At 40.6% G+C, this 15,771-nt stretch overlaps 1 protein-coding gene across 2 annotated transcripts in view, besides 3 other annotated features; it reads right to left on the minus strand.

Annotated features, from left to right (window-relative positions):
• Positions 1 to 4,013, minus strand: part of ASAH2 (N-acylsphingosine amidohydrolase 2) — a 66,656-nt gene extending 62,643 nt beyond the window's left edge. For both annotated transcript variants that reach the window (NM_001143974.3, NM_019893.4), the window contains exons 1-2: positions 3,892 to 4,013; positions 981 to 1,143 (exon numbers count right to left, since the gene is read on the minus strand). In NM_001143974.3, the coding sequence (NP_001137446.1) occupies positions 981 to 1,107 (127 nt within the window). In that variant the 5' untranslated portion in view covers positions 1,108 to 1,143; positions 3,892 to 4,013. The remainder of the gene's footprint in view (positions 1 to 980; positions 1,144 to 3,891) is intronic.
• Positions 3,966 to 4,260: a silencer, noted in NCBI's record as "tiled region #2427; HepG2 Repressive DNase matched - State 5:Enh". NCBI's record gives its function as "represses a minimal TATA promoter and a strong SV40 promoter by Sharpr-MPRA in HepG2 cells {active_cell/tissue: HepG2}" and the evidence as "EXISTENCE:reporter gene assay evidence [ECO:0000049][PMID:27701403]".
• Positions 13,502 to 13,571: an enhancer, noted in NCBI's record as "active region_3356". NCBI's record gives its function as "activates an Ori minimal core promoter by ATAC-STARR-seq in GM12878 lymphoblastoid cells {active_cell/tissue: GM12878}" and the evidence as "EXISTENCE:reporter gene assay evidence [ECO:0000049][PMID:35858748]".
• Positions 13,652 to 13,751: an enhancer, noted in NCBI's record as "active region_3357". NCBI's record gives its function as "activates an Ori minimal core promoter by ATAC-STARR-seq in GM12878 lymphoblastoid cells {active_cell/tissue: GM12878}" and the evidence as "EXISTENCE:reporter gene assay evidence [ECO:0000049][PMID:35858748]".

Consider the following 15,771-nt stretch of genomic DNA (forward strand, 5'->3'; position numbering starts at 1 on the left):
GTCTATGACCCTGCTGTGCCTACTGCTGGATCAGAGGATCTCTGATCCTCTGTGTTTGCCAGGAATTCAAAGCCCTGGGACATAGTAGAGAATGTGCAGGAAAAGAGACAGGCTACAAAAGGGAAAACTGAGGTAGAAAATATCATCTTCTCCATTTGGCCTAAGGCCAGCCCTGTCTTTACTTTGGTCAGAGCTTCAATCTTTACCAGTCTTCTCTACTCATTTAACAGTTATGTAACCTAACACTGACTGGAACAGAGGCTCCACCAAGACCCACTGCCAATCTTTGTGTAAATGTAGCCTACGTTGTTCTCAAAAACTTTGTTTCCAACATTTTAAAAAATCATGAGATATCTAAAAATTCCAATTTCCAGGTTCTCTGGAAAACTCAGGAGATCTGAGATCATGTGTTCTCTCTACAACAAACAGCTGCCACCTGGGAGAGGCTGTAGGCCTTCTTCACAAGAATTGCACCTGTCTCCTCCTTGGTCCACCTCCTCACTCCACCTCATCTGCAAAACTTGATTAGCCCTTGTAAGGATTTACGTTTGAGACCCCTTTCTCTAAAGCTCTTCACAGACTAATTGACATTCATTCAGTGAGTCTTTCATTCTCCTTTTGCCCCCAGGAGAAAATGATGTCTACAAGGAGGCAAATTGAAAGATTAGAGGCTCATGGTAAAAGCTGCCATTACTAGACCTTGACGAATCTTGAGCTGTGCTTAGATCAATGGAAAAACTAATGGCAAACAAGTACATGTCAGAATGCCTGTCAGCTGGCTATTGGGGACAAAGGTAAACTTGATAAAAATTGCTATCAATGCAGAATGGGCAATTAATGCAAAGGGAGACGGCTATTCCAGGCTGCTTAAGTACACGTAGAACTATCAGCAGACACTGTTTTTCTCTTTGGTGTCCACAGTAATCAAGAAGTTTCATACAGGCCTAAAAATTGCATCTAAGAGAGCCCATGACACTTGCCTTTGTGGTTTTCAATGGTCCCACTGGTGATAAACAAGAGGCTGAGAAGGGCCACTGTGATGGCACTCATCATTACAAGGAGGAAAATCAGGAATGTCTCCAAGTTAGAGAAGGTGCGTTTGGCCATTTCTTCTCAGGTACAGCAGAGATGGAAGAAGAAATACTGAAGAGGAAGAAATCACAAATTAAAATGCAAATGCTTTAAGCCAACCGAGGTTAAGATATCTTAGCTCTTTCATATTAATAGACTATACCAAGAACGACAAGTACAGAGCACTTACCACTCATTCCATAGACCAAGCCCATGGCAGACAAGACCAATCAATTACAGCATTCTTTTTGAAAAGCTCGAATGTGGTTTCCAAATCTTTCTCAACACAACACTCCTCCTGGCAGCAACCATTCATGATTTAGCATTGGCCACTGAGCTCAACTGAGCTAAAATCTATTTGCATTCCTCAGCCATATCACACTGCTTTCATTTATGGCGATGATGCTGTTTATGGATCTGTACATGGGTCTGGGCTGAGAGTGCCTCTGTTAACAAGGATGACTGATGCACGCATACTTCTTGTATTTGGGAGAAGGCTGGCTGGGGTTAGGACAGTACTCTGTGGTCATGGACTTAGTAGAATTATCTTGTTCACCTGGAGGTGAAACCCGTAACTTTGGCCTTTACACTCTATGTTTTAACTTTCAATTACTATCTGGTGAGAAATGGGCATGGAAAAGGGAATTAGTACCTCTGGTCTGAAGGCAGGCATTACAAAAAACATCCCCCTTCAGTGATCAGAAGGATCCCAAACACTTTGCAAACCCTGTATCAAAGGATGAGAATTTAAAATGTTCCTATGTTCTACAAAAGTATCAAATGTCATTACAGATTCCTTAAGATGTTTTAAGGGAGGGAGAATTAATCATTACTCAGAGGAACTATACAAGTTAAAACCCCATATAATGTAATAGAAAGAAATATAATATGGTGGTTAAAAATTTAGTTTTGAAATCTGACTCCAGCAGTCAAATTTCATTTCTGCCACTTACTGGATGACTTTGGGAAATCCTCCCCCAATACTGAACATCAGCTTCACCATCTATAAATAGGAATATGATTATGATCATCTTATCTCAAAGTTCTTATAAAACCTATCTCATAAATTTCTTATAAAAATAAGATGAGATGAAGCAACAGTACTTCTTTTGTTCAATAAATGCTCAAACTGGTAGCATTTTTTAATAGATTCCAAAGTAGCAAAGAGTCTGTGCTCTTCCCTGTCCTTTAAGGGAATTTACAGGAGGCTAGTGTTAAAGGATGATTGGAATCACAGGTGGGACCTTCAGAGCCCATTTTCTTAACCTGTGCTTTAGGAAGCCTGAGAGGTGAAATGGTATTGGAATCCCAGGATTTGCCCCCAAAATAGGGGATTTGTGGCTAAGATGCTGCTACCCCCAAGAGTTAATAAATGGCAACAATGTAGATGTATTTAGTACAGTCAATTTTTTATTCAATTTGACTTAGGTAACAAGATATAAAAAAATAGCATTCAGAGTTTATAAAGAGTTTACATTTACAATCCTGAAATTTCAAATTATCTCCTAAAATAATTCGTAAAATATGATGACACTGAGCCAGCATTCCCGTGTGCCAAGAGTTTCCTAAAACTCAGTGCTGTTGTTCTCTTTAGATGGGGGATATATTCTTCAACCTGCCAATCTCTACCCAGCAGGCCTTATTTATCTAAGTTACTACCTGGTCTGTGCAAGCATTTGATTTTGCAATTCCTGGGCTAGAGGTGAAAGATCAGTCTAACAGCAGACACTTCAGAGGGTAGGCTGAACTGGGAGTGGGCAAAGAGACTGGAACATCTTCCCAAATTTTCTGGTTATTGGGAAGCTTTCCTCATCCACTTATCACCACCATAATGCCCTTAACCACCAGCAGCAGGGACAACTTCAAATGTGGAGCAAAACAAGTCAGATCTGTGACTTATGATCAACTTCTATTGTCAGTTTCCAGGAGTCAGGAAACACATCTAAGACATGCCTCTGAACTCTAAGGATCTACAGATAATTACTACTCATTAGCAGCTGTTTCACCAGCAAACTTCAAACCCAGTATCTCTAGTTTTTGCTCAGGGCTTTGGTTCTCTAAGCCTTCCTACTAGCCAAGATGACTGACAGCTGGACCTCCCAACCCCAGAGCATGGACAGGCAGATTGTGTATGTAAATGTGGTCATGTGTTAGAAGCCTGTGTATCAAACAGAGAGGGTACAAAATAATACTTCTTTTTTGTTTCTAGTTTTGCGTTGGTGAGCTGATGATATTTTATGCCACTCAACAATGGCACTTGATTTAACATTAGTGTTTCCACCTATTACGTGGACTTGAATGATCTACCTCATGTGTTTCATCATTCTGTTTAGCTGCCAGAATTGTTGCCAACACAGTAACATTCTTTTTGAACCACTTTAGCTAACTTGACCACCACCTTTAAGGAACTTAAAACTTGGGTTAGCACTATTTATTTCTCATTGGTGATTAAAATCTGAATTTGAATGTTAAAGCAGATGCCTTCCCTGCCTTTAGAATGAAACACTCCTTGGTAGAGCTAAGCCAATAATTATATCTTAAAGGATTCTAGATTTTATAATGGTTCACACTTAATCTGTAATAATCCTGAAAACTCAGTAATGAGGCTCTCATGGCACAATAGCAAGCCGTTTGCCACATCTTCACATAACGGGGTCCCTGTTTTTCAAGGAGAGAGTAAAAGGTAACAATTTGGCAAAAGAGGGTTCCAAAGCTATGAGATAAATTGAAGCTTTAGGGTCTCTTCAAGATCTCTGAGACAATAGGATAATTCAAGAGCCCTCCTTCCCTCCTTCCCCAAGAAAACATAGCTGTCCTTACCTGATTCTAGTACTCAAAAGAGGTTTTGCATCCCAGTGAAGCAAATGGCCATCCAGAATCCTGTCCCCTTTCCCCTTGCACGTTGCTGGGCTTACACCTCTCAGCACTTTCTGAAACCTACTGAGAAAAATTTTCAGTCAAGTCCAGGAGTGTTAGAGCTCTCATTAGCATACCTTTGTGGGCTTGGTACAAGTATGAGATTAAAGAGTATTGATAACAAAAGGCTTATACATGAACTCTCTCTTAGGGCAGACTGTTATCAAAGATAGAAGTTGCAGAAGGCCTGCTGGACTGAAGGTCATTTCACTTTTTCTGTAACTTTTCCAGCATGACAAGTTCTGTGCAAAGCTTATAACCTGAATCACAAAAAAACAAAACAAAACAAAAAAAACACCTACTTCATTTAACACTGGTCGTTCTACAGCAAAGAGATTAGTAATATATGCTGGACATCAGTGTGGGCTGTGGATAGCAATGGGCAATATTTCCACCAATTTCAGAACAGAAAACTAATCAATTTTTATGAGTGCTCATAAAAAGAATGCAAAATTTTAGATTTACTAAATGTGAGTAGTAACTAATACAGCAAGACTGCTATGCAACTATTAAAAATCACACTGAAAATAATTTAATGACATGCAAAAATTGCCAAATATTAAGTAATTTTAAGTTTATAAAACAATACGATCCCATTTGTAAACATTACATATGTTTACTTTATATACATCATATACTTTATATATATTACATATTAAAGACTGTAAGTACAGGAAAATGTTAAGAGGTAATTATCTGGTGATTATGGGTGGTTTTGTTTTCATTGTTTTGTCTCTTGGTATTTTCTATCATAGGCATGCATCACTTTTGAAATGGGGAAATAAAATGTTTTCCTTCCTCTTGGAGAATATAGACTACAGCATGAAGTTAAACAATGGACCATGGAGACAAAGGAAGCAATAAAGAAACCAACCAACCCATTCCCTTTTTTTCCCTAGTAAAATCTAAGCTGTCTAGGACACATTTTAAAGAAGGCCATAAAAGCCGCTTAATTCCTTGCAGAGTTTGATCAGAGACAGGCCTGCAAAGTTCCAACTGAAGTATTAAAGACACAAGTTCCTTCAGATAGGGCATTTAGTAATGCATCTTAAATTTCTCTCTGCTGCTACAGAGGGAGAAAGATTAAATCATGATATTAAACAAGGTTTTTTTAGTGCATTTATGTTAGAATTCTTGGTTGCAAGCAAACACCAAATCTAGTTAAGGTAGGAAAAGAGGGGAAAAAGAGACAAAAAGTAAATTCACTGGAAGACAGCAAGAAAAGCTGCAGACCCAGGATCAGGATGGCCAGGAATCAGGGCATCTCTGCGTATCTAGGTAGCAGGAGCTACCGAACAATCTCTTCAGGGCATCACCATTGAGATGGATGGACTGCAACTACTTTAGGTCTTGTGTTGCTCCACTCAGGAGCCAATTTCTGAAAGACAGCTATATAATAACTTTATCCTTTCATCTGAAGGGATACTTAACTGGGAATCTTAAAAAAAAACATTCACAAAGAGAGAAGAGTAGTTCTCCAAAATAAAATCAAGGTGCTATAGCTGATGAGCCAATAAAAACAACAAATACCCACTAGTGACCTTCCATTGGATTTCCTTCTCCCACCTTTCTCCCTTGCAGTGGGGAGGCCTCTTGACTGGCCCTGTGGTCTCCTCCAGACTTCCCCAGCCATCTTCCCCATCATAAAAAGGAGCCATGCTACGGCCCATTCAGAGTCCTGCTCAGTGACTCACAATCTAGACAGATGAGATTATTTTAACCAGGGTTTTGGTAGACAACAATGGCATAATGTGTCACCTTTCCTAGTCTACATTTGAGGGTCCATAACTGAACAATAATGGGGTGAGAATTGAGAAGATTCCAAGCGCCCATCAAAACAACTGACTCCTACAGACAGGAACAAGACTCAATACTCCCCTGGGGTGAGATGAAGATACAGTCACTGTGAATATTTTAACTTGTGCACATATTTTATTTCTGTCTGGAATGATCCTCTCATGAATCCAATTAGATAGGATAAGCTAACTGTTCTTCTCCACACTACACCCCCGAAAATTTACTCATGTAAACATACTCTACCCATTTTACAGAGGAGGAAACAGACACCAATTTTCAGAACACATAAGGGTGGTTAAAAGTGAGCATGATTCAGCAATGGTATTCAAGGATGTAAGCCCAAGTCTCCAGACTCCTAGACAAGAGCTTTTGCCTCTCACCAAATTATAATTGTCTACATCATCTTGACCTGAACCTTGGCATGGCAGCCTCTGAGGATATGAAAGTCTATGCGTTCACTCCTTACTAGCAATTGATGGAGCAAAGCTATGTCCTCTGTCTCTTAACACCCCATCACAGAGGGAAAAACTAATCAGCACAAAGTAAAGGCAGCTGATGAATAATTGTATTCAAGCTGGAAGAATACTTCTCCCAAAACCCTAACTCCTAAATCATTAAGCAATAATCACTAGCATCACAATTGTTCTTAATATTTTACTTATGCAGTCTTAGAAGGCATGGTGCTAATTTCATATACTTTGTGCTAAGGGCCATATTCTTTCATTATTTAACTCTTAGAGTAATTAAAGATTAAATAACTTCTGGCTGGACTTGGTGGTTCACGCCTATAATCCCAGCACTTTGGGAGGCTGAGGCGGGCGGATCACGAGGTCAGGAGATCAAGACCATCCTGGCTAACACGGTGAAACCCCATCTCTACTAAAAATACAAAAAAAAAATTAGCTGGGCATGGTGGCAAGCACCTGTAATCCCAGCTACTCTGGAGGCTGAGGCAGGAGAATCGCTTGAACCCGGGAGGTGGAGGTTGCAGCAAGCCAAGCTCGCACCACTGCACTCCAGCCTGGGATACAGAGCAAGACTCTGTCTCAAAAAAAAAAAAAAAAAAAAAAAAAAACTTCTAGAAAAAATATACTGTTATATATAGCATCCAGATTGTCATCTCTAAATAACATTTCTTGCTGAAAGAAACTGGAAATCCTTGGAGAAACAGCTGGTTCTGGGTCTGGGGCAGGAATTACATGAACTAAGCTGGGAATATTTTATTATGCCAGAAGTCAAAAAAGTCATCAAAATTAGGAAGACAGTATCTAAAGAACTAGAGCGCTTCCCACTAACCGAAGATTATTTAACTTTAGCATCAATTTAAAAAATAACTGCAATGGGTTGAAGCAAATCAAATATGCTTAAATCCATGATGTCATAATGATACTTTTTAAAAAGATGGTAGGGAACCAATTTGTTATTCTTAAAATTGGTTTAAAAAAAGGAGAGGAGTAGGAATCAAGAAGTCAAGGATATACTCTGCTTTTCCTGCATGCATGTACAGCAGGAAAGCCAAATAGTTGATGAGGGACAGTTTCTCATGATAAAAGTATTCCAGCTAATAAATGAGGAAGAAATGACAAACTTGAATCTAAATATTTTGCAATCCCTGATGAAATGATGGATCTAGAAAAAGATCATCAATAGCTGATTAAGTCACCAATAGAGAAAAAGAGAGACAACAAGATACTGCAGCCTCTGAACCACGTACACAACCGCATACTGCAACCTCTGAACCATCTGTACAACATTCTCAACTTTACCAAAAAGCGAAACCTAAATCGGATCAGCCTCTAGATCTAAGTGCCTGTTCATAGGAAATACAAAAGACAACTGAATATGTATGTTAAGGACAACATGGGGGTACAGAAGGCAAAATTTAGACTGTGAGATAGTAAGACCAATGATCCAGTTTGTTTAAAAAACATGTTAGAACTGAAGAGAAAGAAGAAGAAGTAGGAAGGGGGAGGTGGTGAGGGGGAGACAAGAACAAGAGCAAGAATGGATTAGGGAGGGGAGAGAAGGGCAGAGGCAAAGGGAGAAATGGCCAGGGAAAGGGAGGGCAGAGGAGAGGAAAGGTGAGAAGAGGCTGCAGATTAAAAGAGGCTTAAGAGACAGGTCAAACCACTGTATGTTGTAGGCTCAGAACCAACATTATTTGGAAACTGATTCAAACAAAAACAAAAAATTTACGAAATGGGGGAAATTTTAACACTGACTAGATATATAACAATGTTCAGGGATTGTTTAAAATATAATAATGGTATTGTGATTATACTTTTTAAAGAAATTTTTATGTTTTAGAGACGCATTCTGAAACACAGATTTAAAAAAAGAAATGGTATATTAATAAAAATTGCAAACATCAAATGGTTGGATGGATGGACAGATCAATGGATGGATGGTTGGTTGGACAGTTAGCAGAACAGATGGGAGGACAGATGGATGGACATAAGCTTTGTTCTTGAAAATGCTAGTTGACAGGAGATAGGTAGGTAAGGAGCACTATAGCAGATACTGCAGAACACTCCAGTCAACACCCATTTCAAATTCTAGTGTACAGAGAAGCTGGACCCCCATTTGCCTAGAGTTCCAGATAGAGTTTAGGTTCTGCCTTTCAGATGCATTGGCATGATACTTTGATTCAGAACTGAGCCAGTTGGGGAGTGAATCAGGGCATGGGCCATCCATTTTCATGGTTTGGATCATGGCAGCACAGCTCTGAACTGGTAGTTTGGTGGCTGTTTCCAGATGCTGCAGCCTGCTTCCTTGCTGTGTGAACATGGTCAAGGTAGCCCACCACTAAGAAGCTCAATTCTGCAATTTAAGCTGGGGAGTTGTTCCTGGGGGCTCAGCTTCAACTCTCTGACTTCAGCCTTCACAATAATACTGCAAGTTATCTCAATCCCTTAATAAATCCTTTTCTTTTTAAGTTCCCTAGAGTGGATTCTGTTATCTCCAACTAAGAACATGGCCAAGCTGAATCTCACAGAAGTGAGTGTTGGACCTCACTGTAAAGAATACATGCATTCTAATCAACTGGACTCTGTGTATGCACGTTGCCTCTGGGAACATTTTTAAAGTTAAAAGTAGTGTGCAGTCTGCCATAATGCATTTTTATTGGATCCAAAAAGAAATTTGTTTTCAGTACACAGGGATGCTATGGTGGTACTTTACTACTTCATGGGTTTTTCATAAGACTGAAAAATCTCTTTGACCCCCAAAGCAGTCTCATCACAAGTTAACTGTAGATTCACCTTTCCAATGGTCTCTATTCTACTTTGAACTCAACCTGCAAGCAAGAGAGGAGGAGCATCTTTTGTTCTGAGCTGAAATGAATGTTTCTTATTTAACCCCTTATGCATCCATCATATATTAAGCCTGAAAGCCTGAGACTGCAACTAAAGATGGCCCAGTGTGGTGCAGATCCCTGGTTGATTCTGTGAGGGAGTTCTCGGCTCTGACCAAAGTGGCAGGGCTTGGAAGAAAATAGAGCATAACAAGAGAGCACATCATTGCCCTCCTTCCCCCAGGAAATTTACAAAGCCCGTGATCCCAGCAAAGAGTAACAGGTAGATGCTGACAATCTTCTGCTTTTCTCAGACAGCAGGGCAGATAAAACTACTCCAGGATTACAGAGTTTCTTCCCTCAAATTTACCCCAGTTCTGCCTTCAAAACAAAGGAAAAAGATAAAGGGAAGCATTGTGGATATGAAAAGAACTGGGATTTAAATCTAAAGTTTAAGATGTGTATGTTTGCATGTTTGTTTGTTTGTTTTCAGTGACCTTAATTTCCCTGAGCTTCATTCATTTCCTTATATATACATAAAAAAAAGCACAGAGACTAACAAGAACCTACCTACCTTGTTAAAAGATCACATAGATAATATGTTTTTTAAACTCCTCTGTTCACTCTATAACAGGAAGCAAATTAGTTATTTTTTGAATTATGGACTAATTAATTCTGGATGCCCCAAGAGTGGCAGGTTGTGTGCATTTTAAACTCTATAGCACAGTTACCTTTTCCTGGTATATTCCTCACACTTGGTTCTAAAGATATCCCCATTGAACTTTGATAAATTCAACCTTAAGTGAAAAAAACTATCTTTTGCTATTTTTGACACATCCAGAGAGTTTAAATTCTGGATAAAATTAGAATTGCAAAATGTCCCTATTTCTCCACTGTTAGATAAACACTGGGGGGCTGTAGAACCTTTTTCAGAGTCTTTGGAAATTATTCTCTGATGATTTATCTTTTTCTAAAACCACAGATAAGAATTTATTTCATTTGGCAATGACAAATTTGACCTGTGTGCTATACAAGATTACAAAGGCAGATTGGGAGAAAGCAGGATGCAGTTGCATTTATCATTATTTCAGGGACAGGGTGGAAATATCTTCTGATGTAATGCTTGCCCTCTATATAAATCCCAGATGGTTCATATCTCCCACCTGTGCTGTGCACCTGTGGAAAAAAAAAATACCACACTGTCCTTTGATAGAACTTGAAAAAGAAAGGACCAAGAGAAGCAGAAAGCAAATGATAACATCAAAGTCCACCCTGACTCAATCGATGCTCCCTCAGGCCAATGTGAGGAAGGAGGGAGGAGAGTCTGAGAGGAGCTTGGCGTGGAGGCATATGGTCTTTCTTATATTGGGCAGAATCAAACCTGAGGAGGAAACCCACCAGGTAAGAATTGTTCTCTTTCCTGGAGCAAACTCACTGGCAACCATTCAGAGAATCCCCCCATTAGATCAGCCAAGAAGTAAAAGGGGAGGGGAACCAGACCTTCCCAATGCCAGGAAGTGAATGTACAGCATTTCTCACATTCTCTCTTGCTGCAATGGTCTAACTCCTTCCCAAGGACAATCCACTCTAGAACCAGGAAGAAAAAGAAAAAGTTATTGCTCATGTATATCTACCTGGAGGTATAATGCCTGCAGGAGGACTTAACATCTTGGATTTATCACTGATGTGGGATGGTTATAAGAGCCAGGAGACATCTGAAATACCAGGCTCAATGGTGCAGTCAATGAAATAAAAGTAGGTGATGTAGGAAGTATGTGACGTTACCTCAACTTTGTGGAGACCAAGACATCTGAACTGGAGGCTGACACAGGGGTTGGATCCTAAGAGGCTGAGGTTAGGGCAGGAAGTTCCCACCTGAGCTAAGTGGGTTCCCTAAGAGTCAAAGGGGCCAGCTCAGGAAAGTCTGTGAGAGAAAGGCAGAGCTCGATGACAAGGGGGAAACCATGAGGAATTTTGAGCTTGCAAGAGCCAAAGGCAGGATCCAACTCAGATTTCAGAGCCAAGATGAGGCCAGGCCAGGATGGAATCTAAGCTAAAGCAGATAAGGCACAAGTCCAAAGAGGTTGGCGGTCTTGGCCCCAGGTCACCTACAGGTAGTATTTGTGACTCCATTTTATTAGTAGTCTGTAGATTAGAGAGATCTGTGTGGGTTGGGCTGGCTTATCCAGCCAGAACAAGAAAGATGATCATTAAAACAACAACAATTTATTGAGCTCTTACTATGTAGATACTTATCAAGTGAGGGCAAGAAGGACAGTCATCTTTTTAAATAATAAAAAATAAAATGCAATTAACTTACTGAACTTATTATGCTCCAGTCACTGTTCTGAGGCTATTACAAGAATTACTTCATTTAATATTCACTGTAACCCTGTGAGGGTGGTACTATTCCTATCCTCATTTTACATTTGAATTAAAAAATAAAAAACTAAGTCATAGAGAAGTCAATCAAAGAGCTGATAGTTGGAGGTCATATAGCCTGTAAGAGATCAAGCTGGATTCAAAATAGATCATCTGCCCTCAGAGTTCTCTAGCTTAACCATCAGCTACATTATGCAACATAAGCATCTGCCTTCTACTGGTATCAATATATTCATGTTTTTATTTGTTTATTTATTTGAGATGGAGTTTTGCTCTTGTCGCCCAGGCTGGAATGCAGTAGTGCAATCTCAGCTCACTGCAACCTCCACCTCCCGGGTTCAAGCAATTCTCCTGCCTCAGCCTCCCTAGTAGCTGGGATTACAGGCACACACCACCACGTCTGGCTAATTTTTATATTTTTAGTAGAGATGGGGTTTCATCATGTTGGCCAGGCTGGTCTCAAACTCCTGACCTCAGGTCATCCACCCGCCTGGACCTCCCAAAGGGCTGGGAGTGAGCCACCACAGCGGCCTATATTCATGTCTTTAGAGTAACAAAAAGATAATACATGTCAATTTGTGAAAGCCATAAAGCTGTTGTAAGAAGAAATCAAACCTTTTGTCTCAGTGATTGTGAGAAGAGGTAAGGATTCTGAAGTCATCTAGGCCAACCCCCTTGTCACAGAGATAGTTACTCACCCTAGGTCACTGTGGTGGAGTCTTGCAGTGCCCATTCATATCTGGTTCTCCATTCCTTTATGGGCATATGGGAAGATTATACTTTCCAGTCTCCTGGTACTGGCAAATGGGCTATGAGTGGCAGTGACATGCATCACTTCTGGAATGAAGCATTTAGTGCTGAGGCATTTGAGAGGGGGTGTGTGTTCTGCATGCTCTCCCTTCCTCTGCCTTGGTGACCCTGAGTGTCACGTGTCCCAGATGACAGGTTACAAGTTCCTTGAGATATCTCTTGGAAGCAACTGACCTCCAAGAGTTGCCAGACCAAGAATGGGTTTTGCATAAACAAGAAATAAATGTTTACATATTAAGCAACTAAGATTCAGGAGATTTATTTGTTACCACAGCAAGCTTCCTGCCCATCCTAACTAACACGCTTATAATGCCAGCTTATTAAGATGACTTCTTAGCTAAATTATAAATCTTACTTTTAAATTATTTCAGTCCAATAAACATCTCAATCAAATGATTTTATTTCTACTTTTCAAAACATATTAAAATCCCTCTAATTCGGAGATAAAATTTCATGCAACCTCAAATACAAAACATAGCTAAAAACATAGAGGAAATATAAAAGGCTTATAGGTTACAAAAATTCATGACATAAAGTCCACGTATTTTACACTACGGGAGAGTCTTCATTAAGATAGAGGTAACTTTAATTTACATACAATTCTAACCACCTGTCCTTTTTCTTTCGATCACAGAAAATTAACACAGGTTTCTAGAAGCAGACACACAGGTAGTAAAAGTGATAGCTTAAAGAGACTCAAGTGAAAATTACTCTGTGCAGGACAATAATTAGTGGTCATAGTGACAATTTGAGTCTTTTAACAACCTCTAAAACAGCAAAATCTGAAACCCGTTTAAAAGACTTTTTTCTTCTAATTTTGAGGTTTAAAAGAACTCCAAGTTCTAAAGCTACCCATAATATGAAGAGGGAGACAAAGAGACAACTAGACTAATCCATCTCAAAATGTAACAGTGTTTTGTTAGCATGGTATTTAGGGAACTCTTTACTTAACCATATTTAAATTTTTTCTGCAATGATAATGTATTACTTTTGTGATACAAAGATAATTTTTTTTAAAGGGTTGAATTCTGGTGTACATAAAAGTCACATGGAGTGAATAATTCCCCAGATAGGCTAAAAAAAGGAAGTGTCAACTCTACTAGCCTATTCTTATGCATCATCAAATGAAGAATAACCACTGCTAAAAATAGTTTCTGTTTCTTTTCTTAAACATATGAGGAGGACTGTGCTAACCTCAGATTCTATCTCGGGTGAGCTCAGAAGTCAGTGGTCTGGGTACGTGGGACTTTTAGAAGTAAAGACTCATCAACCAATTCATTCAGGACTAATGGAACAGAACAAGTTCTACTGCTTATTCATGTCACTAATCAGAGAACAGGCTGAGCTACCTATTCATACCCAGATGAGCTGAACCTTGGATGCACCATAAGAGATAAAGATTCTTCTGAATAGGATAATTAACATGGTGTTTACAGAAGGGATTTGATAAAACCAGGTTGCATGGAGCTGTGACCAAGTTGTTGCCTCATAAATGAGTCCAAAGTTCAAGATAATCTTGAAGACTAGTATTTTTTCCATTCCAATGTGTTGGTTCTATGACTGATATATTCAAAATATGTAAATACTGGTTCAGCCTGGGCACTGATCAATCAGAGAAGATGCAAGAGTACACACGTGGTAGACCTGTGTGGATGTATTCCTGCTGAACTTCAGCTTTGGTGAGCTTCTCTTTAAAATGTGGAGTTATGCATTGGCTGAGGGGTTTCTTCCTTCCAAGTCCCAATTATTGAGTTATAAGCCTTATAAATAGAATGAGTAGTCATTTTTTAAAACCTTCAATTTCATCATCTCACACTGCTGAAAAACTACTTCAATCCATCATAAGGGGGACATGCCACCCATAGCACTTATATGTTGCATCTGAAGAGTACCACTAGAGGGAAAACCATCAGAAAACTGGCAGGATGGCCAGGTGAGGTGGCTCGCACCTGTAATCCCAGTGCTTTGGGGGGCCAAGGCAGAAGGAGCACTTGAAGCCAGGAGTTCAAGTTCAAGACTAGCCTGGGCCACATAGCAAGACATTGACTTTACAAAAAAAACAAAAATTATCTGGGCATGGTAGCATGTGCTTATAGTCAAAGCTACTTGGGAGGCTGAGGAGGGAGGACTGCTTAAGCCCAAGAGTTTGAGACCTCAGTGAGATATGATCATGACACTACACTCCAGCCCTGACAACAGAGTGAGACCCCATCTCTAAGTTGGAAAAATAAAATTAAATAAAATTAAAATAAAATAAAAAGGAAAGCTGACATGACATCTTTCAGACCTGCCAGCATGGCTGGGTGTGAATGCTTCCAACCAAAGCACAATTGCTGCCCTAATAAAACTGAATTACATGACAAAGGAAGAAAACAGTTTAGGCAGGTTATAAGCTGAATTATCCTTGAAAGCCCTTTGGAGGGAGAGAAAACAAACCTAATTTGTAGAAGAGGAAAGTGAGACCATAAGCAATGCTTAAAATTGTGCCCAGGAGGGAGGCTGCCTACATCACACTCATATTTAAGGCAGAAGTAAGTAAGTGGGCATATTTATCAAGTGCTCTCCTAAGTGCTGAGTGCTTTACAACAGGTAAGTATGTGAGGGAAACTTACAGATGTCTGCAAGAGAATGGCACAGAGATGGCCAAATAGGAAGAGCTCCAGTCTACAGCTCCCAGTATGAGAGATGCAGAAGATGGGTGATTTCTGCATTTCCAACTGAGATACTGGGTTCATCTCACTGGGGAGTGTCGGACAGTGGGTGCAGGACAGTGGGTGCAGCACACCGAGCGTGAGCCGAAGCAGGACGAGGCATCACCTCACCCGGGAAGTGCAAGGGGTCAGGGAATTCCCTTTACTAGTCAAAGAAAGGGGTGACAGATGGCACCTGGAAGATCAGGTCACTCCCACCCTAATACTGTGCTTTTCCAGTGGTCTTAGCAAACGGCACACCAGGAGATTATGTCCCGTGCATGGCCCAGAGGGTCCTATGCCCACGGAGCCTCGCTCATTGCTAGCACGGCAGTCTGAGATCAAACTACAAGGCAGCAGTGAGGCTGGGGGAGGGGCGGCCGCAATCGCTGAGGCTTGAGTAGGTAAACAAAGCAGCCAGGAAGCTCAAACTGGGTGGATCCCACCACAGCTCAAGGAGGCCTGCCTGTCTCTGTAGACTCCACCTCTGGGGGCACGGCATAGCGAAACAAAAGGCAGCAGAAACCTCTGCAGACTTAAGTGTCCCTGTCTGACAGCTTTGAAGAGAATAGTGGTTCTCCCAGCACACAGCTTGAGATCTGAGAATGGATAGACTGCCTCCTCAAGTGGGTCCCTGACCCCCGAGTAGCCTAACTGGGAGGCACCCCCCAGTAGGGGCAGACTGACACCTCACATGGCCGGGTACTCCTCTGAGACAAAACTTCCAGAGGAACGATCACGCAGCAACATTTGCTGTTCACCAGTATCTGCTGTTCTGCAGACTCCGCTGCTGATACCCAGGCAAACAGGGTC

Source organism: Homo sapiens, chromosome 10, assembly GCF_000001405.40.
Source record: "Homo sapiens chromosome 10, GRCh38.p14 Primary Assembly".
In the NCBI taxonomy this organism is placed as follows: domain Eukaryota; kingdom Metazoa; phylum Chordata; class Mammalia; order Primates; family Hominidae; genus Homo; species Homo sapiens.